Genomic DNA, 25,939 nt, shown 5'->3' with positions numbered 1-25,939 from the left:
CCATTATTATTGTGTGGGAGTCTAAGTCTCTTTGTAGGTCTCTAAGGACTTGCTTTATAAATCCAGGTGCTCCTGTATTGGGTGCATATATATTTAGGATAGTTAGCTCTTCTTGTTGAATTGATCTTTTACCATTATGTAATGGCCTTCTTTGTCTCTTCTGATCTTTGTTGGTTTAAAGTCTGCTTTCTCAGAGACTAGGATTGCAACACCTGCTTTTTTTTGCTTTCCATTTGCTTGATAGATCTTCCTCCATCCCTTTATTTTGAGCCTATGTGTGTCTCTGCACATGAGATGGGTCTCCTGAATACAGCACAGTAATGGGTCTTGACTCTTTATCCAATTTGGCAGTCTGTGTCTTTTAAATGGGGCAGTTAGTCCATTTACATTTAAGGTTAATATTGTTATTTGTGAATTCAATTCACATTATGATGTTAGATGGTTATTTTGCCTGTAAATTGTTGCAGTTTCTTCATAGCATCAATGGTCTTTACCATTTGGCATGTTTTTGCAGTGGCTGGTACTGCTTGTTCCTTTCCATGTTTAGTGCTTCCTTCAGGAGCTCTTGTAAGACAAGCCTGGTGGGGACAAAATCTCTCAGCATTTGCTTGTCTGTAAAAGATTTTATTTGTCCTTCACTTATGAAGCTTAGTTTGGCTGGATATGACATTCTGGGTTGAAAATTCTTTTCTTTAAGAATGTAGATATTGGCCCCCACTCTCTTCTGGCTTGTAGGGTTTCTGCCAAGAGATCTGCTGTTAGTCTGATGGGCTTCCCTTTGGGGGTAACCCGACCTTTCTCTCTGGCTGCTTTTAACACTTTTTCCTTCATTTCAACCTTGGTGAATCTGACAATTATGTGTCTTGGGGTTGCTCTTCTTGAAGAGTATCTTTCTGGTGTTCTCTGTATTTCCTGAATTTGAATGTTGGCCTGCCTTGCTAGGTTGGGGAAGTTCTCCTGGATAATATCCTAAAGAGTGTTTTCCAACTTGGATCCATTCTCCCCATCACCAATCAAATGTAGATTTGGTCTTTTCACATAGTCGCGTATTTCTTGGAGGCTTTGTTCATTTCTTTCTACTCTTTTTTTAATCTAAACTTGTGTTCTTCCTTTATTTCATTAATTTGATCTTCAATCACTGATATCCTTTCTTCCACTTGATTGAATCGGCTATTGAAGTTTGTGCATGTGTCATGAAGTTCTCGTGCCATGGTTTTCAGCTCCATCAGGTCATTTAAGGTCTTCTCTACACTGTTTATTCTAGTTACCCATTCATCTAACCTGTTTTCAAGGTTTTTAGCTTCCTTGTGATGGGTTAGAACATGTTCCTTTAGCTTGGACAAGTTTGTTCTTACCAACCTTCTGAAGCTTACTTCTGTCCACTCGTCAAAGTCATTCTCCATCTAGCTTTGATCCATTGCTGGCTAGGAGCTGCAGTCCTTTGGAGGAGAAGATGCACTCTGGTTTTCAGAATTTTCAGCTTTTCTGCTCTGGTTTCTCCCCATCTTTGTGGTTTTATGTACCTTTGGTCTTTGATATTGGTGACCTACAGGTGGGGTTTTGCTATGGATGTCCTTTTTGTTGATGTTGATGCTATTCCTTTCTGTTTGTTAGTTTTCCTTCTAACAGTCAGGTCCCTCAGCTGCAGGTCTGTTGAAGTTTGCTGGAGGTCCACTCCAGACACTGTTTGCCTGGGTATCACCATCAGAGGCTGCATAACAGCAAATATTGCAGAAGAGCAAATATTGCAGGCTTATCCTTCCTCTGGAAGCTTCGTCCCAGAGGGGCACCCGCCTGTATGAGGTGTCTGTTGGCCCCTACTGGGAGGTGTCTCCCAGTTTGGCTACACGGGGGTCAGGGACCCACTTGAGGAGGCAGTCTGTCCATTCTCAGAGCTCAAACACCATGCTGGGAGAACCACTGCTCTCTTCAGAGCTGTCAGACAGGGACGTTTAAGCCTGCAGAAGTTTTTACTGCCTTTTGTTCAGCTATGCCCTGCCCACAGAGGTGGAGTCCATAGAGGTTGTAGGCCTTGCTGAGCTGCGGTGGGCTCCACCCAGTTTGAGCTTCCCTGGCAGCTTTGTTTACCTACTTAAGCCTCAGCAATGGCAGACACCCCTCCCCTTGCCCAGCTGCAGCCTTGCAGGTTGATCTCAGACTGCTGTGCTAGCAGTGAGCAAGGCTCCGTGGGCGTGGGACCTGCCAAGCCAGGCATGGGAGAGAATCTCCTGATCTGCTGGTTGCTAAGACCATGGAAAAAGCACAGTATTTGGGCAAAAGTGTCCTATTTTTCCAGGAACAGTCTGTCACGGCTTCTCTTGGCTAGGAAAGGGAAATCCCCTGACCCCTTGCACTTCCTGGGTGAGGTGATGCCCTGCCCTGCTTTGGCTCACCCTTCATGGGCTGCACCCACTGTCCAACCAGTACCAATGAGATGAACCAGATACCTCAGTTGGAAATGCAGAAATCACCCGTCTTCTCCATTGATTACACTGGGAGCTCCACACTGGAGCTGTTCCTATTCGGCCATCTTGGACAAAGATCTATAACAGATTTTTTTAAACAGGCTTATTGAGATACGGTTTACAATACACCCATTTAAAATGTATAAGTCAATAATTTTTAGTATATTCACAGAGTTTTGCAGCTATCACCGTAATAAATATCAGAACATTTTCAGCAGGACAAAAAGGAAATCCCTCACCCATTAGCAATCAATCGCCATTTCCCCCCCAGTCTTACCTCCTAGTCCCTGAAAACCATGAGTCTACTTTGTGTCTCTACGGATTTGCCTATTCTGAACATTTTGTATAAACAGGATCGTACAGTATGTGGTCTTTTCAACTGGCTACTCTCTCAGCATAACATTTTCAAGGCTCATTCATGTTGCAGCATGGATCCATACTTTACTTTTTTATTCTGGAATAATATTCCATTGTATGGTCATACTACATAGAGATGATCTGTTCATCAGTTTGTGGACATTTGGGTTGTTCCCACTTTTTGGCTACTGTGAATAATGCCGCTATGAACATTCATCCACTGGTTTTTGTGCGGACATGTTTCTATTTCTTGTGGGTATATACTTGCCACAAGAAAGACATTTCTTTCGTTAGTTTTCCTTCTAACAGTCAGGTTAGAAGGAATGCTGGGCCCTGTGGTAATTCTGTGTTTAACATTTTGAAGAGAAAGCCAAACTATTTCCAAAATGGCTGCACCAGTTTAAATTCCCACCAGCAATGTATGTATGTTCCAATTTCTTGACATCCTCACCAACACTTTTTATTATTTGTCTTTTTTATTATAGCCATCCCAGTGGATATGAAATTGTTATCTCATTGTGGTTTTGATTGGCATTTTTCTAATGACTAATGATGTCAAGCATCTTTTTGTGTGCCTATTGGTCACTTGTGTATCTTCCTGGAAGAAATATCTGTTCAATTCCTCCTTTATGGTCACTTTTTAAAGCCCATTTTAAAATTGAGTTATTTGTCTTTTTAAAATGTTGAAGTATAGCAATTCTTTATATAGTCTTGTATACAATTCCCTATCAGATATACTATGATTTGCAAACATTTTCTTCCATTCTTAGAGTTGTCTTTTAACTTTCTTGATGGTGTCCTTTGGATTACAAATTTTTTAACTGTTCATAAATTCCAATTTATCTATTTTTTATCTTGTTGCTTATATTTTTTAGATCATCTCTAAGAAGGCTTTGCCTAACTAAACCCAAGATCATAGATATTTATTCCTTTGTTTTCTTCTAAGAGTCTTGTAGTTTTAGCATTTACATTTAGGTCTGCAGTCCACTTGGAATTAATTTTTGTGTGTGGTCTAGAGAAGGAATCTGACTAATCTTTTGCGTGTGAATATCTAGTTCCAGCATCACTTGAAAATATCATTTTCCCCCTATTGAAATGACACTCTTGTTGAAAAAGAACCTGTGATTTAATTTTAAAATAGCCTGTGTTCTTGTCGTTTCTACTCCCTGTCCATCAGAAACTACAGACTACATCCTCACCAACTACATTTTCTTCCTCAATCACATTATGCTCTTCTATACTTCCTTGTTATTCTGCACACTTCCAGTCTATCTGGAATACAGTTCCTTATCTCATTTGCCTGCCAAACTCCTACTCAATCTTACCACCCTTACAACTAGCTCAAATGGAATCTACTGTCTAGTCTTTGTGGCTTTACCATCAGCACATTATATAGTTTTTGAAAATGTTTTACTTTTCTTACTAGATTGATATCTAGTGATTGATAATTCCTCTGCTTTTTCTTTTCTTTTTAATTTTCCCATTTTCTTTCTTCAAACACCTGGCATAGTATCTAGCACATAGTACACACTATGGATATAAATCTGTTGAACCAAATTAATGAAAATGGCCTTGGCCAGGAGTTTCAGGTCCTATGAGAAATTCAGAAATATCTTAAAGAAATCAAGCATTCAATAAATATGAAAGGTAATACAAATGAAAACTGCAACCCACAGCAAAAACATGATCATTTTCTTATTCTTCTGATAAATTTCCTGGAGATTTATCATTGCTATAGCACTGTTAAGAGCAGAGAAAGCTAGGGAAAATTTTACAGGCTGATAAAATGTTATGTGAGCTAATGCACTTTTCTAATCTATCTTACAGATTGCGTTAGTAAGAATTTTTTAAATCAATTTTCTTAATGACTATCTCTCGCTTAGTTTTTATAGCTTATTTAAAGAAGATTAAGGATGTTTTAGTTGCAAATCCAGAGGCACTTTGAATGTATAAGCTTTTGGCCTTTATTTTTAAAACTGATTTATAAAGGTGTTTATGAAACCAGCATTATACACAACGATCTGAAATTGAGGTCTGCGGAGCGCTGCAGCAAAAGACAGACATAAAAATGAAATGAGAGGAAGACACTTTTTCAAAGCTCGTGTTTAACAACAAAAAAAAGAACATCTTCATTTCCTAGTAAAATTTTTCTTTAATTGATGTCCTAAGAATTATGGAATAATATATACTTGTAGAAACCAGTAAAACAATATAAAGATATATAAATTATAAGTTAATCATTTCCCTCTTACTCCTACTGCCACTGCCCAGCAACCATGCTTGACAGGCATTTATTTATTTATTTATTTATTTTTTGAGACGGAGTCTCACTCTGTCGCCCAGGCTGGAGTGCAGTGGCGCAATCTCAGCTCACTGCAAGCTCCGCCTCCCGGGTTCACGCCATTCTCCTGCCTCAGCCACCTGAGTAGCCGGGACTACAGGCGCCCGCCACCACGCCCGGCTACTTTTTTGTATTTTTAGTACAGACGGGGTTTCACCGTGTTAGCCAGGATGGTCTCGATCTCCTGACCTAGTGATCCGCCCGCCTCGGCCTCCCAAAGTGCTGGGATTACAGGTGTGAGCCACCATGCCCGGCGACAGGTATGTTTTTATTCACAATCATCTGTTTTATAAACATTGATATACATACAAATATGTCGCAGGTGTCTATTGCCATGTAACAAATTACAGAAAAAGAGGGAAGCGAGGGGCTTACTGGCAACCATCTTTACAGACATTCTACCCCAACGATTCCTATCTAGAGGTTGGCTGCTTTGTTGTTTGCTCTTGATGAAATGGAAGCATGCTATGTATATTACTATAAAATGTTTTCTAATATGACAGGATTAATAATATTGATCCTAATAATTCTATATCCCTTTAGCCATTTTCTCTCATTGATAATGTTTTGCAGAACTATATAGTACAGTATCACAACTAGGATATCGACATTGACACAGTCAAGATAGAGAACATTTTCATCACCACAAGGATCCTCCTGTTCTGTTTTCCGTAGTCACATCCACTTCCCTCCCACCCCCACCTGTCCTTAACTTCTGGCAACTACTAATTCTTTTCTTTCTGTAATTTTTTTCTTTTCAAAAATGATATATAAATGAAACATACAATATGTAACATTTTAAGATTGGCTTTTTCCCTTCAGCCTAATTCTCTAGAGGTTCATCTAGGTTGTTGCCTGTATCACTAGCTCGTTTCCTTTTATAGCTGAATAGTATTCTGTGATGTGGACTCACCAAAGTTTGCTCAACCATTCACCCATTGAAGGACATCCAAGTTGTTTACAGTGGGACTATCATCAATAAAGCTGCTAAAAATATTCATGTAGAGGTTTTTGTGTGAACCTAAGTTTTTCTGTGTGATAAATGCATAGGAAAACAATTGCTGGAAGAAATTTCTGAAGTGTCTACCAGATTGACTGTACTATTTTACATTCCTACTAGCAATGTCAGAGGGATATAGTTTCTCTGCATCGTAGTCAGAATTTAGTGTCTTCTCTATTTTTAAACTTTAGCCATTTTAATAGGTGTGCTATAATATCTCATTTTGGTTTTAATATGCCTTTTCCTATGGACAATGCTATTGAGCATCTTACGTGTTTCCTTTTTTCTTTTCTTTTTTTTTTTTTTTTTTGAGAGGGAATCTCACTCTGTCCCTGAGGCTGGAGTGCAGTGGTTCAATCCTGGCTCACTGCAACCTCTGCCTCCCAGGTTCAAGCGATTCTCCTGCCTCAGCCTCCTGAGTAGCTGGGATTATGGGTGTGTGTCACTATGTTCAGCTAATTATTGTATTTTTGGTAGAGATGGGGGTTTTACCGTATTAGCCAGGATGGTCTTGAACTCCTGTCCTCAGGTGATCTGCCTGCCTCGACCTCCCAAAGTGCTGGGATTACAGGCATGAGCCACCGCACCTGGCCTCATGTGCTTATTTTCTTTCTGTACATCCTCTTCAGTGAAATGTCTGCTCATTTCTTTTGCCTATTTTCTAATTGGATTGTGGGATTTTGTTTGTTTGTTTGTTTGTGTATTTTTACTTTTGAGTTTTGAGTTCTGTTGTACTCTAGATACCAGTCCTTTGTTGGCTATGTGGTTTGGAAATATGGCCTCCCTCTCTGTAGCTTTTCATCCTTTTCACATGAGGTTCACAGAGCGAAAGTTTTTAATTTTAATGTTTGTCAATTTTAAAGAACCAACTCTTTGTTTCATTGGTTTTCTTTATGGTTTTTCTATTTTCAATTCCATCAACTTCTGCTCTCGTCTTTATTATTTCTTTCTTTCTGCTTGCCTCCAATTTATTTTGCTTTTTTTCCCTAGATTCTTGAGGTAGGATCTTAGATTATTGATTTGAGACTTTTCCTCATTTCTAATGTATGCATTTAGTGTTACAAGTTTCCCTCATGGCTTTAGCTATGACCCACAAATTTTGATATATTGTATTTTTTCTCATTCTATTTAATGTATGTTTTAAAACTTTTCCTGAGCCTTCCCCTTGAGCCATAGATTATTTAGAAGTGTGTTGTTTAGTTTCCAAGTGTTTGGAGATTTTACCGTTACCTATCCGCTATTAATTTCTAGTTTAATTACATTGTGGTCAGAGAAAACATTTTGTTTTATTTCAATTGTTTTAAATTTGCCACAGTTTGTTTTACAGCCCATGATGAGGTCTATTCTGCTGTGGTTGAGTGAAGTGTTCTATAAATATTAATTATATGCTATTAGTTGATGGTGCTGTTGAGTTCTTCTATATCCATGTGTATTTTCTGTCCTCTTGTTCCATCAGTTGTTGAGAAAGTGTTTAACTCCAGTTATAATTGTAGATTTGCCTATTTTTCCTTTTTGTTCTATCAATGTTTGCTTCACATATTTTGAAACTCTGCTTTTTGACACATATGCATTTAAGATTACTGTATCCTCTTGGTGAATTTACCCTTTTACATAGTGTCCCTCTATGACTCTCGTCATTTTTTTGTCACTGTATCCAACTCATTTTCATATTACTATAGTTTTTTCTTTCAATTAATGTTTGTATGGTATATTTTTTCATTATTTTACTTTCAACCTGCCTGTATCGTTATATTTGAAGTATCTTCCTCATAGACAGCATAAAGTGGTTCTTTTGTAAAAAATCAATTCTTTCAATTTTTGTCTTTAATTAGTATATTTAGATCACTATGTTCAATGTAATTATTGATGTTAGAGCTTAATTGTGCCATTATAATTTTTGTTTTCCATTTATTCTGTTTTTCTCTCTTTTCTTTTTCCTACATTCTTGTGTGTTACTTGAAAATATTTCAGAATTCATTTTGCTCTTTCTATAGTGTTTTTGAGGGTATCTCGTTGCATAGCTATTTTAGTGGTTGCTCTAGACATGACACCATATTTCTATGACATTGCAGTTTACTGGTGTCATTTTGCTAGTGTGTGAAGTACAGAACACTTATCTTCCTGTACTTCCCTTTCCTCTCCTCCATTTTTATTATGGAAGATAAAGTCTTTTCTCAATTTACATTTAGAACTTAAATATTTTCTGTTTACATTTAGAACCACATCAGACAGTGGCATAAGTTTTGTTTCAACCATCAACAGAATGTGGAAGACACAAGAGGAGAATGAAAGTCTTATCATATTTACCCATATTTTTGGTTAACATGATTTTCCCTCCTTTCTTCTTTCACTATTCCTTTCTGTTTAGAGAATTTCCTTTAGTCATTCTATTGGGGTAGGTTTGCTTTTGACAAATTCTTTTATTTTTCCTTCATTTGATAATGTCTTTATTTCTCATTCATCTCTGAATAATATTTTTGCTGATATAGGATCCTGGGTTGACGATCCATTTCTTTCAGCACTTGAAAATTGTTGTTTTTCCATCAAGCCATGTGAAGACATAAGGAAACTTAAGTGCATATTACTAAGTGAAAGAATCCAATATGAAAAGGCTACATATTATATGATTCCACCCATTTGGCAGTCTGGAAAAGGGAAAACTATGGAGACAGTAAAAAGATCAGTACTTCTTTATTTTTTGAAAATTTTCTTTCCAAATAAACCTACTTCTTTCTATGCTTGCCAAAATCAAGAGCTCTCTTAACTTGTTTCTCGGTGGGAGCCTCTTCCCACCTTCCCTTTGTTTCTTGGGAACAGCAGCCTCATCATTGCTGAAGTGCTGCCCACAGAGCAGCCTGCCTGGATGACTGGATCTTATAAAGATCCAATGGAAAGTCAATAGCAGAAATGCATTTGAGCAGGCTATGGTGTCTCTAGAGAGTGGACAATCAGAGGAAATCCCAGTTAAAAACAGACTCTGAAGTGAATCAGTCCACTTCTGACAAGTAAGAAAGGAAATGGGAAGAAGTACAACAGCAAGGGTGGAAACAGTTTCTGCCTGTTATCTGTCCCACATACGCCTTTTATTATGGAGAATGGCGCTTATTTTGCCTGACAGGAGCTTACTCTGCTAAGGAATTTTCTAAATTTAATTTAAAAGGCTGAAGATGTCTATTAAGTTATGTATAATGAAATAAATGATGTAGTAAATCTTGCTATGTCCCAATATTTTGAAGAAGTCAAATATTACAAGTCAGAAATGTTGCCATAAAATAGATGAAACCATAGGGACTGTAATGGTAGGATTAACAAATTAAACAGCTTCTTTTAAAAACTGCTTTAAAGCCTAAAAGTTTGCATGGAAATTTTGATGAGTTGAAATTGGAAAGCCATGATTAGGAAGAAATGTCAAATTTCTAGACATTATAATGAAGTGAACCACATTCTTCCTTTGGCTGATGACTAGTTGTTGTGCTGATGCTTGGGTTGAGGCTGGGAGAGGCCACCTCCTGCACAGCCTGACATTGAGCAGAGACTGCAGAGATTGTCTGCCAGAGGACAGAAATGTTCTGTATGGTTCCAGAAAAAGATGAACGCAGGGCAGTTTGTGATTTCATTATGCCATACTGTGTGAGGAGCGCTTAAAAGAGAAAGATGAAATTATTGTGTTGAAAGGGTCTAGTTCTAGTGCAGACAGTTTGTTTTAACCATCCCTCACAAGTGGTTTCCTTTTGTAGGAGAAGACCCTTCTCCAACAGGGAAGGGGCAAGAGGTCAGGCACTCTGGGTGGGTCCTGTGGATGGTGAGAGAAATGACAAGTACTTCTTTGTTACCCAAAATGAGGAGATAAAGCCTGATGGCTGAGAACCTATAAACATTGGCCTCATGGTTGGAAATGCACTTAGCATCCTAACTTTAATTGTCTTGGGATGTTACTGTGATCAAGCAAGATGTCCCCATTCCATACTATTAACCTCTTTGCTCACAATGAGCCTTTTGAAGAGAGGGTGTATAGCACCTACATTTTTCTGCTTCTGCTTCCACTTATGTGACCATTAGCATCTTCCGTGACACCAATAAAATGCTGGTGGCAGATTATCCTAGAATATTTTCCATAAATCATCTGACAATGACCTAACCTAGTCATCTATCAGAAGTATATTCCTACAAAGGAGAGGCACACACAACCACTGATTTTTATTAAGCTTGCATTAAGCACTTACCAGAAGACAGCAATAAATTAGTAATCACCCCAGTGTTTTCCAAGTGAAGTGGCAGATTAGAGGAATTCTGACATGCTATACCAAATATACAGTACATGGTGTGCAACACAGACCAGGGAAGGGAGGATAAAGAGATTGCTAAAGAACAAAGACAGGAAAAATTAAACTGGAAGGAGAATGTGCTGGGAAAAGCTGTGACTGTAAAGGCTGACATTTGTGTATAACATAAAGGGAAGTTGAAATACCACAGTGTCTTCCTTTCTTGGTAAGGTATTTGCACTTCCAGTTAAGACTGGTAAATATAAATGAAGAAATCTTATTCCCAGAAGGATGTTAGTGTGTCCTGACCTGTCATGTTCTGAAATGTATTTTCCTCTATTTGGTCAGGCAGGTACTAGGCTAACTTCCACTGCCCATAACCAAGTTCTGAACATAATATCCAAGGTGGGGAGAAATGTACCCTCACATGCCAGGGATTTTCTCTGCCAACAGAGTAGAAAAGGCAGTAGAAAAACGTACTTAATACATTTCTCTGCCCTGTTGAATCTCTAATGCATAGCACAAATTTTCACCAAGCAAGAACGTTATGATGCATGATGAGAAGAAGAAAATCTGCAACCTCTTCTATCTCATTTAGTAACTTAAGGTCCCTTTTATTTATTCTTCCACTCATGGTGCAGTGCTCAAAGCACAGCTGCTAGCACCAAACTGTTTCAGTGTATACTGTAGCTCCACCACATGCCACCTGGGTGACCTTGAGTAAGTTACTTGACATCTCTATGCCCTCAGTTTTCTTATCTGTAAAATCGAGACAATGATAGTAGCTGGGTCTTAGAATTTTATACAGATGAAATGAGGTAACATTTGTAAAGCACTGAGAACAATAGCTGGCACATAGTAAGTGATATATAAATCGTACAAAAATGTTTTTGAAGGAATTTTATTTACCAGACACAGGTCTAGGTATTGGAGATACATACAGTGTAAATAAAACAAAGTCTTGACTTCATAGAGCTTTCTTTCTAGTGGGGAAACTAGGTGATAAAAACAAGAAAATATATAATATGAGTTAAGGTGATGGCTGTCATGGAAATATCAAGCAAAAGAGAGGCAGAGAGAGAATGGGGTGCAAAGTGAGAGGGCTGGTTGCTCTTGGTGGAGGCTGGTTCGAGAAGATGTTTTGGATAAGGTAACATTTGAGCAGAGATGTGAAGGAAGGAGGGAGAAAGCTATCCCGATATCTCGGGAAAGAGAACATTCAAAGCAGAGGGAACATCACTGGCAAATGCCTCAAGGTAAGAGTAAGCCTGGCCTTTTAGATGAAGAGCAAAAACAGCCAGAGAGAGGTGAGGGAGGTGGGACAGGAGGAGAGAGAGGAAATGGATTGGGATGACATCAGCCAAGGCCAGATCTTTTATGCCCAGGAAATGGGCTTAATTCTTCAGTTTAAAGAGAGCATAATAATCAGCTTTTTCCAAGGATATACATTGTTGTACCTTTGTGTCACAAGATTTTAGTTATTTTAAAATAAAGGCATTAAGTAGAAGTAACCCAAGCATCCACCCATAGACAAATGAATAAGGAAAATGTGGTGTATACAAACAATGGAATATTCAGCCTTAAAAAGGAAGAAATTCTGCCACATGCTATAATGTGGATGATCCTTGAGGAGATTATGTTAAATGAAATGAACCATTTACAAAAAGATGAATACTGTATGACTCCACTCATAGGAGGTATCTAGAAAAGTCAGATCCATAAAAACAGAAAGTAGAATGGAGGTTGCCAGGGGCTGGAGGGGAGAGGAAAGTGGGGAGTTATTGTTTAATGAATATAGAATCTCGCTTTTAGAAAATGAACCATTTCTGGAGATTGATTACACAACCATGTGAGTATACTTAACACCACTGAACAGTACCCTTGAAATGATTACGACGGTCAATTTTATGTTATGCGTAGTTACCACAATTACAAATTTAAAAAAATAAAGCTATCACACGGATTCACCTGCATACTACTAACACACAGAAGTAAGGCACAGGCAATGGGTAGAGAATGCCTGCTCTGAGGGTGTACCACAGAGAAAGAGACCACAAGAAACGACAGCCAGGGACAACTCCCGTTCTTGAGGCTGGCTTTCATTTCACGTTGAGATTAGTAAATGCAAATTACTCAATCAACTCATGAAAATACATTGCTACAATTATTCCCAAATCCAGACTCTGTGAGAATAGGGGTAACATGAAGGGGCATTGACTTCACTGTAGCTTTGATGGCTTTCTGACAATGGTTCCTCGCTACCACCAATATCCCTGAGTTTGCTTTGCAAGAATTGCCACTGCCACCCAGGCGGTTAAGGCAATGTTCTAACTCCCAGGCCAAGCTTTTCTAAGCAGCTCCTGGCTGTGATTTGAGCATGAATGGAGAAAATAACAAGATTCATTTAAGCTCAAAAATAAGGATGCTGAAGACCCTCTGAGATATGTGTGTAGATTATATGCTTTTAAAAATACCTGCTGTGACAAAAAAACCCATAATTTCCATCTAAAATAACACTTTCAAATAGTATTTTTTACAATTATGATTAATTAAGCTGTTTCTACCTAGTATTGCCCAGAAAAAATAGGAAGAAATGGCAAAATAAAAGCCAAAACCCAAAATGCAAAAAGCAGGAGCAATACTGTGCACACATTCCATTTTGGTGGGTATTCTACCCTTGTGGTACCCGAAGCGCTTTACCTCTCTGACTACAGTTTCATTCAGCCACAATCTGCAAGATGGAACACCTAGGCCTTCCATGCTGAGGGGACAATGACTGTGAACATGGCCAGGGCAGAAAAGGAGCTAGTGACAGGCCTTTACAGCAGACTTGAAGGAGGCCTGCATTTTAGAGACCACCCCGCTGCCCATCTGAGTTAGAAATACAGATTCAGAGACCACATGCCTTTAGTCTTTGTAGCCAGAGCATAACAGATTATTTTACATGCGTGCTGCTGGACCGTGGGTTAAACTGGCTAAACTTTTACATTGAGAACCCATATTCTGAGCTGCTCTCTCAAAGAATGAACTAGTACATCATTACCTCCGCTCACTTTAACTGCCAGATTTCCTTTAAGTGAATTTCTGTGTACAGTCAATCCTCCACATTCACAGATTCAGTATTTGTGAATTCATCTACTTGCTAAAATTTATCTGTAACCCCCACATCAGCACTCGGTATGCTTTTACAGTCATTTGTGGACAGGCCCAGAGCAGTGATGCACCCGTGCCTGGCTGAGGTCTCACAAGGCGACGCTCTGCCTTCCTGTTTCAGCTCTCTACTATCAACAAGGGTCCTTTATGGGTCTATTTAGAACCACAGTTTTGCATTTTTGTGCTTTTGTTGGTTATTTCACTGTTTAAAATGGCTCCCAACCAGAGTACTGAAGTGCTGTCTAGTATTTCTAAGTGCGAGGAGGCTTGGATGTGCCTTACAGAGAAAAGGTAAGTTTTACAGAGAAAATGGAAATTTGGTTCAGGCATGAGTTACAGTGCTGTTGGCCATGAGTTCAACATTAAACAATCAATAATCTAGATTAAACGAGGCATCCTTAAACAGAAACACACAAAAAAATAAAGTTATGTGTTGATCAGTTAGTTGACTAGAAGCTTGCAGGAACCTAACTCTGTATTTCTCCTAATAGCAAGAGCTCCGTACTCAAATTCAGTGTCCACAGCAAATTTTTAGAACATAATCACCATAAATAGTAAGAACTGACATATTTTGAAAACTCTGAAAAACATTCATGCTACCTAGTTAGTAAAACAAGTATAGTATCTAAAACAAGAGGTTTTTTTTCTGCAAAATATTGTTCTTCGGCTATGTCAGTGGTCAAACATGTTTCTATGTATTAAATCACAGCTTAGAAAGCCCTTGTTAGCCTTAGGTAGTATTTCAAATCTGTTTGGTAACAATATAGAGGAGTAGCTTAGAGTATGGGTTTTGTCATTAGATAGATTTGGGTTCGTCCTCTTGCTAGTTCTGTGAATGTCATCTTCATGCCACTTGCTAGATGGACAAGTTGTTTAAGTTGCCTGAAGCTCGATTTTTCTCATATAGATAAAAGGGAATAACAATAGTTCCCATCTTGTAGGACTTCTGTAAGTCTTAAACAAGACGACACACAAAAATTACTAAACATACTTATTGGCACATAGCAGTGCTCTCTACATGTTAGCTATTATTATTACTGTTTTCTGAGTCCAATTCAATGTAAGATTTGGAGGGAAACTTGTCTCTGAACTGTTCTATGTGGAGTTTACGGTTGGGATATTTGAGGAAATGGAGGAAGCACAATATGATGACACAGAATGACAAATTTTGAATCCTTTTCTGTTTACCAACCTTGCTGGGTGGGCTATGCCCATATCTTTGTATATATCATTCGTTCAACAGATATTTGTTAGCACACAGAACCATGGAATGGAAGGCTGCTATATTACTTATTAACACTTATGTTAATTTTCTAAATCCATTGAGTTAGACCTGAGTCAGTCTATCTGCAAATACATTACAAGGAGGACCATATTTAGATAAGTTCCCTGAAGTGGAAACTACAGACTTCAACGATTCTCAGAGCAGAGATCATGTTGCTCTGTCCTCTGATCTCTCCTGGACTTCTCAAACTAGTGTTCTGAGCCATGTGAACACAAGGAATGGCTCCTGGCTTCTCCCTGCAGGCCCTGTGTGTGTGAGCACCCACAAGTGAGGGGCTACGAGGGGCTACACACTCAGCCCCACCCAGCAGAACCTGATGCACGCTTAGCAGCACAGAGGGGCACGCGAAGTGTGGAGGAAAATAAACTCACTAAAGCAGTGGTTCTCAGGTTCTCAGCCTGCTTTCTGGCTCACCCTTCCCAAGGGATATGATAACCTACTGATCAGTACCACTGACTCAGATGGGCATTAATTCTTAAGGAGGAGGCGGGGATTGTGTGCAGTGGGGTGGGGACAGGGGCGTCAGAATTTCTCTGAAGCAAATGTAGTTTGAAAGAGTCCCAGAAGGCTGGGTGTGGTGGCTCACGCCTGTAATCCCAGTACTTTGGGAGGCCATGGCAGGCGGATCACTTGAGACCAGGAGTTAGAGACCAGCCTGGCCAACATGGCGAAACCCAATCTCTACTAAAAATACAAAAATTAGCTCTGCGTGGTGGCACATGCCTGTAATCCCAGCTCCTCGAGAGGCTGAGGCAGGAGAATCACTTGAACCTGGGAGGCCGAGGTTGCAGTGAGCGGAGACCATGCCACTGCACTCCAGCCTGGGCGACAGAGTGAGACTCTGTCTCAAAAAAAAAAAAAAAAAAAAAGTCCCAGAGGTGATTCTGACATCCTCCCCCACCACTCCCTTTGGCATGGTGTGACAATTCCTTCTCACATTACTGTCTGGTGAGGGAGAAACTTAACATGTTCCTTGTCATTTCACAAAATGTTTGGTTCTAATTCAATGCCCACATGTGGTGTTTTTTCTACCCCAAGATCTTACTTTATTGTTTAGAGTGACTTGTTCTTAGTCATGCCTTTAAGTAGCTTAAGGGACATATCTTAGATTCACTCTCTGGAACACTACTTATTCCAAGTCACCAGCCATGCATTCTAAACAGCAGGAATACTCCTCTATAAAAGCATTCTGCCATTTCTGTTTAAGGCCCTTGATTTCTTCCATTAGTCAGACTCTCTCTCTCTCATTTCTAACTTTAACAACAGAGCATTTTATTTTGCTTTTTCTTGTTTGTGGGAAAACACATCCTGTTTGGATTCTTGCCTGTTAAAAAAAGACTTTAAAAGGCAATAATACAGTTGAGAAGAGATTTATGCCAGCAGAAATCCAGTTGCTGTTTTGACCTCTTTGAATCTGCTTCTTATCAAGATGTCCTTTGTAATACCATATAGTTCCTTCATCTGTATTCTAGGAGCCATTAAGACGTCTTTCCCACTACCCATGAAAAACTTATCTCATTATTATCTATTTCAGCTACGCAAAACCAATGATTATCAGCCTCTTCTGCGTATTACTACTCATCAATAACACTAGCTATTAAACTAACGATGAAAGGTTGCGTATGACTCAAGAGGTCTGAAGAGAAACATGTAATAGAACTGCCCTATTAATAGCACCTAGAGTAATGGAAGAATCTAGAGGAGAAAAAGGATAAAAGTTTGACCAGAATTTATATAGGAGAGTGAACTGCTGAACTGCAATTGATTTTTTTTAACCCTTATAGCAAGTGAAGGTTCTGGGTATTTTGATTGCCATTGTGGAATATTTTCTATGTTCATGAGTTTTGGGAGGGAAAAATGCAGAATAATACTCTGTTTTCTATAACCTGGCACCCAAATGGACTGCAGATTTATTGAGGGACCTTGACCTTAGACAAGATGTCTATTTATACAAGGATAGTGCTTTGTAATGATGTCATGATGGGATGCGTACTTGAAGTCATGTCTAGGTTTCACCTCTTATTAATGACAAAATTTATTACAAAGTATTTATTTCCAGCCTATTACGTTTCTTTTCAAAAAATACCATGCTATCTACAAGTGAATGAAAAATGAGTCCTCTGAAGTATCAAAATTATTTTTAATATTAGCATGGCTATCCATGATATAAAACAGTTTTGGGGATGATTTATTCACTTGCCTATTTGCCACACCCTTGGCCTCTGCTCAAATTAACCTAAAAACAATTAGTTTAGGAAACCCCTAACTCCACACAATCGTTCCTAAGTGTAAACACAAACAAACTCTGTCATTATTGCTACACCAAGTGTTTTGAACTCTCACAGCTCACAAAGAAGCAAGCCACTGAAACAGGAGAGTTCCCTGATCCCCCTTGCAGGATGTGCAGCAGGGGTGTGGCTTGCCTGTTCGGTCATCGTTGTTGCTCAAACTCCTGACAGGAGGGGGAACACGCAGATGGGCAGGTACAGGAGCCGGGGCAGGTACTCTGGGCTCCGCTCCTGCAGTAGTGTCTAGGGGTGGGTGCCTGCGGCCCCAGTGTTACAGTGCTCTTTTAGCCTTGCCATCCTCAGACACCTTAATGTTAACCAGCTCAATGGACCCTCTGCCTTTTTGCAAGGGCAGAGGGCCAGTGTGACAGCTTTCTGTATCCCGAGCTCTTGCCCAGTGTCCCAGAAGAATCGGTTCACACACGGGCTTGAAGGATGAATGCGGGGTTTTATTGAGTGGTGGAAGTGGCTCTCAGTGGGATGAATGGGGAGCCGGAAGTGGGGATGGAGTGGGAGGATGATCTTCCCCTGGAGTTTGGCCATTCAGCAGCTGAACTGCCCTCCGGCCACCCCCAGCCGAACTTCTCTCAGTGTTCAGAAATTCCTCCTCTTCTCTCTTTCTCTGCCATGTTGTTCCACTGTTCATCTGCTTTTCTCCTCATCTCCTTATCTGCTCCTCTGCTCATCTGCTCATCTGCTTCTGGAGCCTGGGGTTTGGGATTTATATGGGTACAGGATAGGGGGATATGGCAGGCCAAAAGGCATCTTTTTGGGCACAGAAACAGAAATGCCTGTTCCTACTTAGGGTCAGAGGTCTCCAGGCTTGAGGGTGGGGCCTTTGCCAGGGAACCGCCCTCTTCTAGCCAGTCCATCTTCTAGCCATTTCCATCTCCTGTCCATTCATCACCAAATCCTTATTGAAGAGAATCCACTTACACTGTTTCTGAAGGTTATTTCATATACTGAGTAGTTCTTGCTGCTGTAAGAGCTGAAATTTTTATGCTGTGCTCTAACCCTAATTTTATCAAGAACAGAAGAACTACACAGCTTGTTTCTAAAACTACGAAAGATTACTTCTTTCAAATATTCTTTTCTACACTTTTCTGGTGTCATTGCTATCTTGGTGAGAGTGATTGTAAACACCTTCTGTGTGCAAAATATCATGGGAGATGTACAATTTGAATATAAGGGCACTATCCATCTCACTACATATAATTTAATATTTTCATAATTATCCAATATTTATTCACTTTATGAAAACAGATTTATTTGTACTGTCAGGCTTATTATAGGCCTTGATTGCATTTCCAAAAGGGCCTGTCATTTGGCAGCTACAGTTTAATGCTTTTATTCACAATTTGTAGAAGACATGTAATAACTACTCATCACATTTTGGGATGTCATAAAGATGGGAAAGACAACAGATGTAAAAGATAATGGAGTAAGATTCAAAAATACTTTGATGTGTTGGAACAAATGGCCTTAAACCCACAAAGATGAAGTTTAATGGGAAAAAATATAAGAGCATGAGAGTCACCTGTGGGCCTTGTTGGCCATGAAAGATAATCAAATATTGGGCTGTGAATTTGTTCAGGTCATCCAAGAAGCTGACATCAAGATGAAAGTAAATTTGCAAGGATTTTATTGGGGAAAATGTCTGAGAGAGAAAATGGAGAGGGAGCTGGGAAGAGATGGGAGAGCCATCCAGCCTTGATGCAAATCTGATTCCTAGTGAGGAGAGACAAGAAGGAAAGTTGGGTAAAAGCACCCTGGACTATCCTGAAGTCTAATGGAAGTGCGGCCAGGCCACTGGTGTCTTTAAGCCAAAGTTGGCCTAAAGTTGAACAAGTTCTCAGGCTCTCAGTGACAGGCTGCCTTAGGAAGCCTGCGGCACTTGATAATTGTCTACAAGCGGCTGTTGGGAGGCTTGGCTCTCTGCCCCAATTTTATGAGTGCAAATGAAACAATGCATTTCAGAGTGTGGCAGCTGGGGCCAATAGTCAAGTAGTTGAAAGTCTGCAAGGTGCATTCTCAAGGTACACAGGAGCCAGTGCGTATGTAATTTGGCTTTTCAAAACTCCATCCTAGTTTTGCTTAGAAAATATTTCAGAAAAAAAATGTTTAAATAAATAATTCAAAACTAAACAAATCTGAGATCCTGAAAATGCAATCCTGTTTTAGGATTTCTGGTTTCAAAATAGTTACTGTTCACTGAGAAGATTTTTAAGACAAAGAACGAAATTCTGTTCTTTGCTGGAGGGGTGTCCCAGGGGTGGAGGGGTGTCATGCACATATATTACTAGGGAATAATGATTGTTTCATATTCCTTTTATTTCAAGGATCTACAGTCATTCTCTTTTTGATGCTTAAACTGCCAACTTTTGCCAGTGGGAGCCCTGTTAAGGCTGGCTCCTGAGTCGTTTTGACATTCCACGTTAATCTTTGTTTTTAGCTTGTAGATCTTTTTTTAAAAACCAATTTTATTGAAGTATTATTTACATGTGCTGAAATGCACCCATTTTAAGTGTAAAGCTTGATGAGTTTCAACAACTATATCTCCCACATCACAGTCAAGAATAGCCATTGAAGACGGGCTGGGTGCGGTGGTTCACGCCTGTAATCCCAGCACTTTGGGAGGCCAAGGCGGGCGGATCACGACGTCAGGAGATCAAGACCATCCTGGCTAACACAGTGAAACCCCGTCTCTAGTAAAAATACAAAAAAAAATTAGCTGGGCATGGTGGCGGGCGCCTGTAGTCCCAGCAACCCGGGAGGCTGAGGTGGGAGAATGGCGTGAACCTGGGAGTGGAGGTTACAGTGAGCTGAGATTGTGCCACTACACTCCAGCCTGGAGGACAGAGCAAGACTCTGTCTCAAAAAAAAAAAAAATAGCCATTGAAGTGATATCTGCACCCCCATGTTCATTGCAGTGTTATTCGCCACAGGCAAGATATGGAAACAACCTAAGTGTCCATCAAAGTATAAATGGATAAAGAAAATGTGGCATATATATATTCACACAATGGAGTATTATTCAGACATAAAAAAGAAAGAAATCTTGCCTTTGTCACAACATAGATGAACTTGGAGGACATTATTCTAAATGAAATAAGTAACACATATGAAGACACTGTGTGCTCTAACTTATATACGGAACCCATAATAGTTGAACTCTGAAGCAGAGAGTAGGATGGTGGTTACCAGGGGATGGGGAGTGGGGGAAATCAGGGAGGTGTTAGTCAAAGAGTGCAAACTTTCAGTTACAAGATGAACATGTTCTGGAAATCTAATATACAGCATGGATGATTATGGATGTATTAAACTAATTTGATTGAGATAATCATTACACAATGTATATGTATATCAAATCATCATGTTGTATACCTTGAATGTATTCAATTTTTATATGCTGGTTAAATATTTTTAAATTAAAAAATGAATAGTCATCCACAAAGTTGCCTTGTACCCCTTTGCCGTCATTGCCCCCTCAATCCCAGCCCTAGGCAATCACTGACCTGTTTTCTTCCACTCTAAATTCCTTGTGCCTATTCTAAAATTTTATATTAATAAATCACATAGAATATATTCTCTTTAATTGATGCTTGATTTGTAAAAACTTATTTTAATGCTTTTTTTTTTTTTTTTTTTTTTTTTGAGACAGAGTCTTGCTCTGTCTCCCAGGCTGGAGTGCAGTGGTGAAGTCTCGGCTCACTGCCACCTCCACCTCCCGGGTTCATGCCATTCTCCTGCCTCAGCCTCCCAAGTAGCCGGGACTACAGGCACCAGCCACCACGCCCAGCTAATTTTTCTTTTTTTGTATTTTTAGTACAGATGGGGTTTCACTGTGTTAGCCAGGATGGTCTCGATCTCCTGACCTCGTGATCCACCCGCCTCGGCCTCCCAAAGTCCTGGGATTACAGGTGTGAACCACCATGCCTGGCCTAATGCTTTAGAGATTAAACTGTATCATTAAATGTTTAAAAAAGTTTGTACCCTTTGACTAACATCTCCCTGATTTCCCCTACACCCCATCCCCTGGTAACCACCATCCTACTCTCTGCTTGAGAGTTCAACTTTTATGGGTTCCATATATAAGTGAGAGCACACAGTGTCTTTATATGTGTCGCTTATTTCATTTAGAATATTGTCCTCCAAGTTCATCTATGTTGTGACAAATGGCAAGATTTCTTTCTTTTTTATGCCTGAATAATACTCCATTGTGTGAATATATATATGTCACATTTTCTTTATCCATTTATATCCATTAATGTGGTGGTAGCTTGCTCCTTTTTATTGCTTGGGAAATACTTTTTTCTATGGATAGATTATAACTTGTTTATTTACTCACCTGTTGACAGACTTTTGAGTTGTTTGTAGCTTAATGCTATTTAAATCTGCTATGAACGTTCACATGAAGGCCTTTGTATGGATATATGTTTTCATTTCTCTTGAGTAAATACCAAGGGATGGAATTGTGAGTTATGTAGTCATTATGTAAGAAAACTACCAGACTACTTCATAGAGAGCTTGTGTCATTTTAGATTTTCTCCAGCAATGTATGAGGGTTCCAGTTGTGGTACATCCTCACAAACACTGGTGTACAGTGGTATCTCATTGTGGTTTTAATTTACATTGTCCTGATACTGATAATATTGGGAATCTTTAATGTGCTTACTGATTATTTGCATATCTTCTGTTTTGAAGTGTCTGTTCACATCTCTTTTTTTTCCCCATATTCCTTGTCTTCTTTAAAATTTAGTTGAATTTTTTATATATATTCTGCATCTATATCTTCAGATATATGTACTGCAAATATTTTTCCACTCGGGGGCTTGGCTTTCTACTTTTTTAACAATGTCTTTCAAAGAATAGAATAATTCCATTTTGATGATGAAGTCCAGTTGACCAATTTCCATATAGTTCATGTTTTAGTGTCTTAAGAATTCTTTTTCTGCCCTCAAAATCTTGATGATTTTATCTGATGTTGTTTTCTAAAAGTTTTATAGTTTTAGATGATACTTTTGTTCATTTCGTGAATGTTGTAAGGTAGTGTCAAGAATGATTTTTCCCATATAGATATCCAATTATTCTGGGATTAATGTTAGCTCTAATTATTACAAGAGCACAGACCTAAGGCTGACTGCAAGACTTGTGAGGAATAGCCTCTGTCTCCTCAAAGGAGAGTTAGCAAAAACCAGGACACCTGTCTTTGAGCCTGTAACCACCTCCCCAATTCCTCTTCAATAACAGGCAGTAAAGGAGAAGATCATTTATTGCCCAGTTGACCATACAATTTGGTCAACATATTTGCTATGTTTGCTGCTTCTGTCATCTGAATGTTTATATTACCCCAAAATTCAAATGCTGAAATCCTTATCCCCAAGATAATAGCATTAGGAGATACGACCTTTGGGTCGTGTTTAGCTCATGGGGGCAGAGCTCTCATAAGAGGCCAGAGAGAGACCTCTCATCCTTTCCACCAGAGGTTAAATTGAGAATGCTGTCTATGAGGAAGTGGGTCAGTCACTGAATCTGCCATTATCTTGATCTTAGATTGCCCAGCTTCCAGATTGTTAGAAATGCATTTCTGTTATTTGTAAGCCACCCAGTCTATGGCATTTTATTACAGCAGTCCTGGCAGACTAATACAGGTACCAATTCCTGTGAATTTCTCTCAAAACCCATTATTTGTCCCATGAGGCCCTTGTCCTTCATTTTCCAGAAAGCTACATCTCTGTCAGCATCCCATACTCATCACTAAAACTGTCAAACTCTGTGAAGGGCCTGAAATTTTACCCTCCTTGCAAACTAACAAATTAGCCTGCCATAGCTTCAAGATGTTGGCAGAAGATATGAGTCTCCTGGATCAGAGACAAAGGACTTTATTACTCATGGCAACAGCAGAAGCCACAGTATTGACATCTGCACTGTCTCCCTGAGCCCCAATTCCTACAGAGCAATACTGGCACATGTAGTGCATTGTGGTACAAGAAAGAATCCTGGGTTTAGTGAAACTGGAGTTTTTATAATGGGCAGTAAGTGTGCCTGCCCCTTGCTCCTGAGAGAGGCACTAGCTCCATCTGCCATGGCTGTTGGCTATGCAAACATCTGTGAAAAAAAAAGATTGTCCAAAATAAATGCAGTCAATGTCTGTTTATAAGTCGTCTGGAAATGTAGGAGAGAAATGGAAAATTGTTGCTCAGTACTCACAGCTCCCCATATTGTTCTTTCCTGGCCTCATGGAGTTTCTTTCTATGAATCCCAATGGACTCAAGGAGATCCTCTACAGATCTCTGTAGCTTCTTGTCTGCACAGCTCCCTACTCTCCAATTTTCTGGTCTGAAAATTTCAGTCATTTCAGCTTCCCCTTGAATTCTTGTCTCTGTCTTCTCAATTTAATATGATTTTTTTGCTTTTGCTGGAGTTCCTCCTCACAGGCCCTTAATTCAGAAAGTGCTTCCAGGAAGAAAGCTGGGGGTGATTATAGGGCTAACCTTATCTATTTCCATTCCCTCAGGGATCCTGTTTCTGTGCTACCTCCTATACTGTCTGAAAACCAAACAGATATCTCATAAATTTTGTCTGCTTTTTTATTGTTTACAGTGAGATTATGAGTCCAGTATCAATTATACAATTACCAATTCTACCCCAACATGGTAGAATCAGATATCCCCTTTTGTTTGTTTTTCAGAAATTTTTGGGGCAGTCGTTAAAAATCATTGGCTTTAAGTTGTGTAGACACAGAACTAAAATTAATTATATACTTAAAATGGGGTAGAATAATATAACAGTTATACTGAAGCAAAAATGTTTCCTTTACTATGTGTGCTTTTGTGTAACAGACTGAAGTTTAAAGGTGCCATTCGGGGAGTGAACTGGGTTAGTCTGTCTGCACCGAAGCCAGTAAGGTGAATGAAGAGTCACTAGAAAAGCATTATGGAAGTCCTTCTTTGAAAATACAACTTATTTTTAAACCTTTGAGGAAATGTCAGATTAACTTCTTTCATGTGCTCATCTACTTCTTAGTAAATGTTTTGGTCTTGAGGAGAAGCACATCTTGGTTGGACACCGTGGCTCATGCCTATAATCTCAGTACTTGGGGAGGCTGAGGCAGGAGGATCACTTAAGCCCAGGAGTTCAAAACCAACCTGGTCAACATAGTGGCACTCCATCTCTACAAAAAAATTTTAAAACTAAAAAATTAGCTGACATGGTGGCACATGCCTGTAGTCCCAGCTACTCAGGAGGCTGAAGCTGGAAGATCACTTGAACCCAGGAGTTCGAAACCAATCCTGGTCAACACAGTGAGACCTCACCTCTACCAAAAAAAATTTAAAAATAAAAAATTAGCCAGGCATGGTGGTGAGCACCTGTAGTCTCAGCTACTCAGGAGGCTGAGGCAGGAGGATCACTTGAGCACAGGGATTCGAGGCTGCAATGAACCATGATGGCACCATTACACTCCAGCCTAGGTGACAGATGAGACCCCCGTCTTTAAAATACAAATAAATAAATAAATAAATGTTTAAAAGGAGTATGTATTTCTTCTTTACTAAGTCAGGACTTTCCATCTTTATTAACTATAAAAGTAGTTAATAAATAAACTTATTAATAAATAGTTAAGAAAGTTGTTAATAGTTAACCAAGTAACAAAATAGTTAATAGTTGGTTTCTAGCATAGTCTCACTTATTTTGACAATTAACTCAGGACCAAATTAGTAGAGTGGGAAAAATCAAGGGAAGGGTCTGTCATTCATTTTCCCAAGTCTTTTTTCCAAAATCAACCAAACGCCAGCATAGTTAGGGTGGTCTGTCTGGCTCATTTCCCACCTCTTCTCATCTTTAGTATTTCATGTATCTTCCTCTTTTATTTCCACTACAACAATGGTGCATCATTTAAACGCTTGCGTTTTATGATCTTATAAAACCAATTAATAGAATTATAAATATTATAAATATATTCACCCAAAATGGATTTAAGCTGGTACAAAGGTCTTTATTATTCATTCACTAGGTGACTACATTTTTCAGACCACTCTGAGCCCATTTTACCATAGTTAACAAAACACTACTATAAATTGTCCTTTTAGTATCATTGTCAGTTAATGTCAGAAAATTAATAGAGATTTTAAAAATCATCCTTACTTTGAACTATAAGGTATTATGACTGACAAATAGAGCACAATAACTCTACCAAAGGAAAATCCAGAAGTTGTTTCTCAACCTCTAAACTAAGCTACTCTGCCCACCCATGTGTTAATTACCTTCCTGAAAAATAAAGCTAATCCAGCCACGTCACTCCACAGCTTGAAGACTTCTGATGGCTCCCTGAGTCCTGATGGATAAACTAAAACATTTTAGAGAACACAAGGCCCGTTACAATTTCAACCTAGTTCTAACCTTCAACACCATTCTCTGCTATTGTCTCACCTTAGAACTCTATCACTCTGAAATCACTTTATCAGGTCAGAAGGGCTTTTCACAATTCCATGCCTGCTCTCAGGCCATTGCATCTGTCTACAAACACTCCTCTGAATAACTCTGCCTGCTCTGGCCAGCGTTGTTGTGTGGTTTTTCCTTTTCACATCTTTCACACCTCTGTGCCAGTGGAATGTACTAGGAACACATCCCTGGCATGTTCTGTGCTTTAACCAGCTGGTGCAAGAGAGTCTGGTTAAGATAATTCTCCAAATTTTGATGCTTTAATCTGCTATCATGTTGATCAACAATAAGTCCAATATCATTCCATGAATTTCTACTCTAAACATCCTCGTAAATCCTCTGGCGT

At 39.3% G+C, this 25,939-nt stretch overlaps 1 protein-coding gene across 5 annotated transcripts in view, besides 1 other annotated feature; it reads left to right on the top strand.

Moving 5' to 3' along the window:
- STARD13 (StAR related lipid transfer domain containing 13) overlaps window positions 1-25,939 on the top strand; it is a 573,658-nt gene that overhangs the window by 256,289 nt on the left and 291,430 nt on the right. The gene's annotated exons all lie outside the window — the stretch shown is intronic.
- Window positions 9,771-10,338: an enhancer, noted in NCBI's record as "NANOG hESC enhancer chr13:33984305-33984872 (GRCh37/hg19 assembly coordinates)". NCBI's record gives its function as "activates a minimal SCP1, AML or CMV promoter by ChIP-STARR-seq in naive H9 embryonic stem cells {active_cell/tissue: H9 hESC(naive)}" and the evidence as "EXISTENCE:reporter gene assay evidence [ECO:0000049][PMID:30033119]".

Source organism: Homo sapiens, chromosome 13 (assembly GCF_000001405.40).
Source record: "Homo sapiens chromosome 13, GRCh38.p14 Primary Assembly".
In the NCBI taxonomy this organism is placed as follows: Eukaryota; Metazoa; Chordata; class Mammalia; order Primates; family Hominidae; genus Homo; species Homo sapiens.
This window is presented reverse-complemented; position numbering and strand designations above follow the sequence as displayed.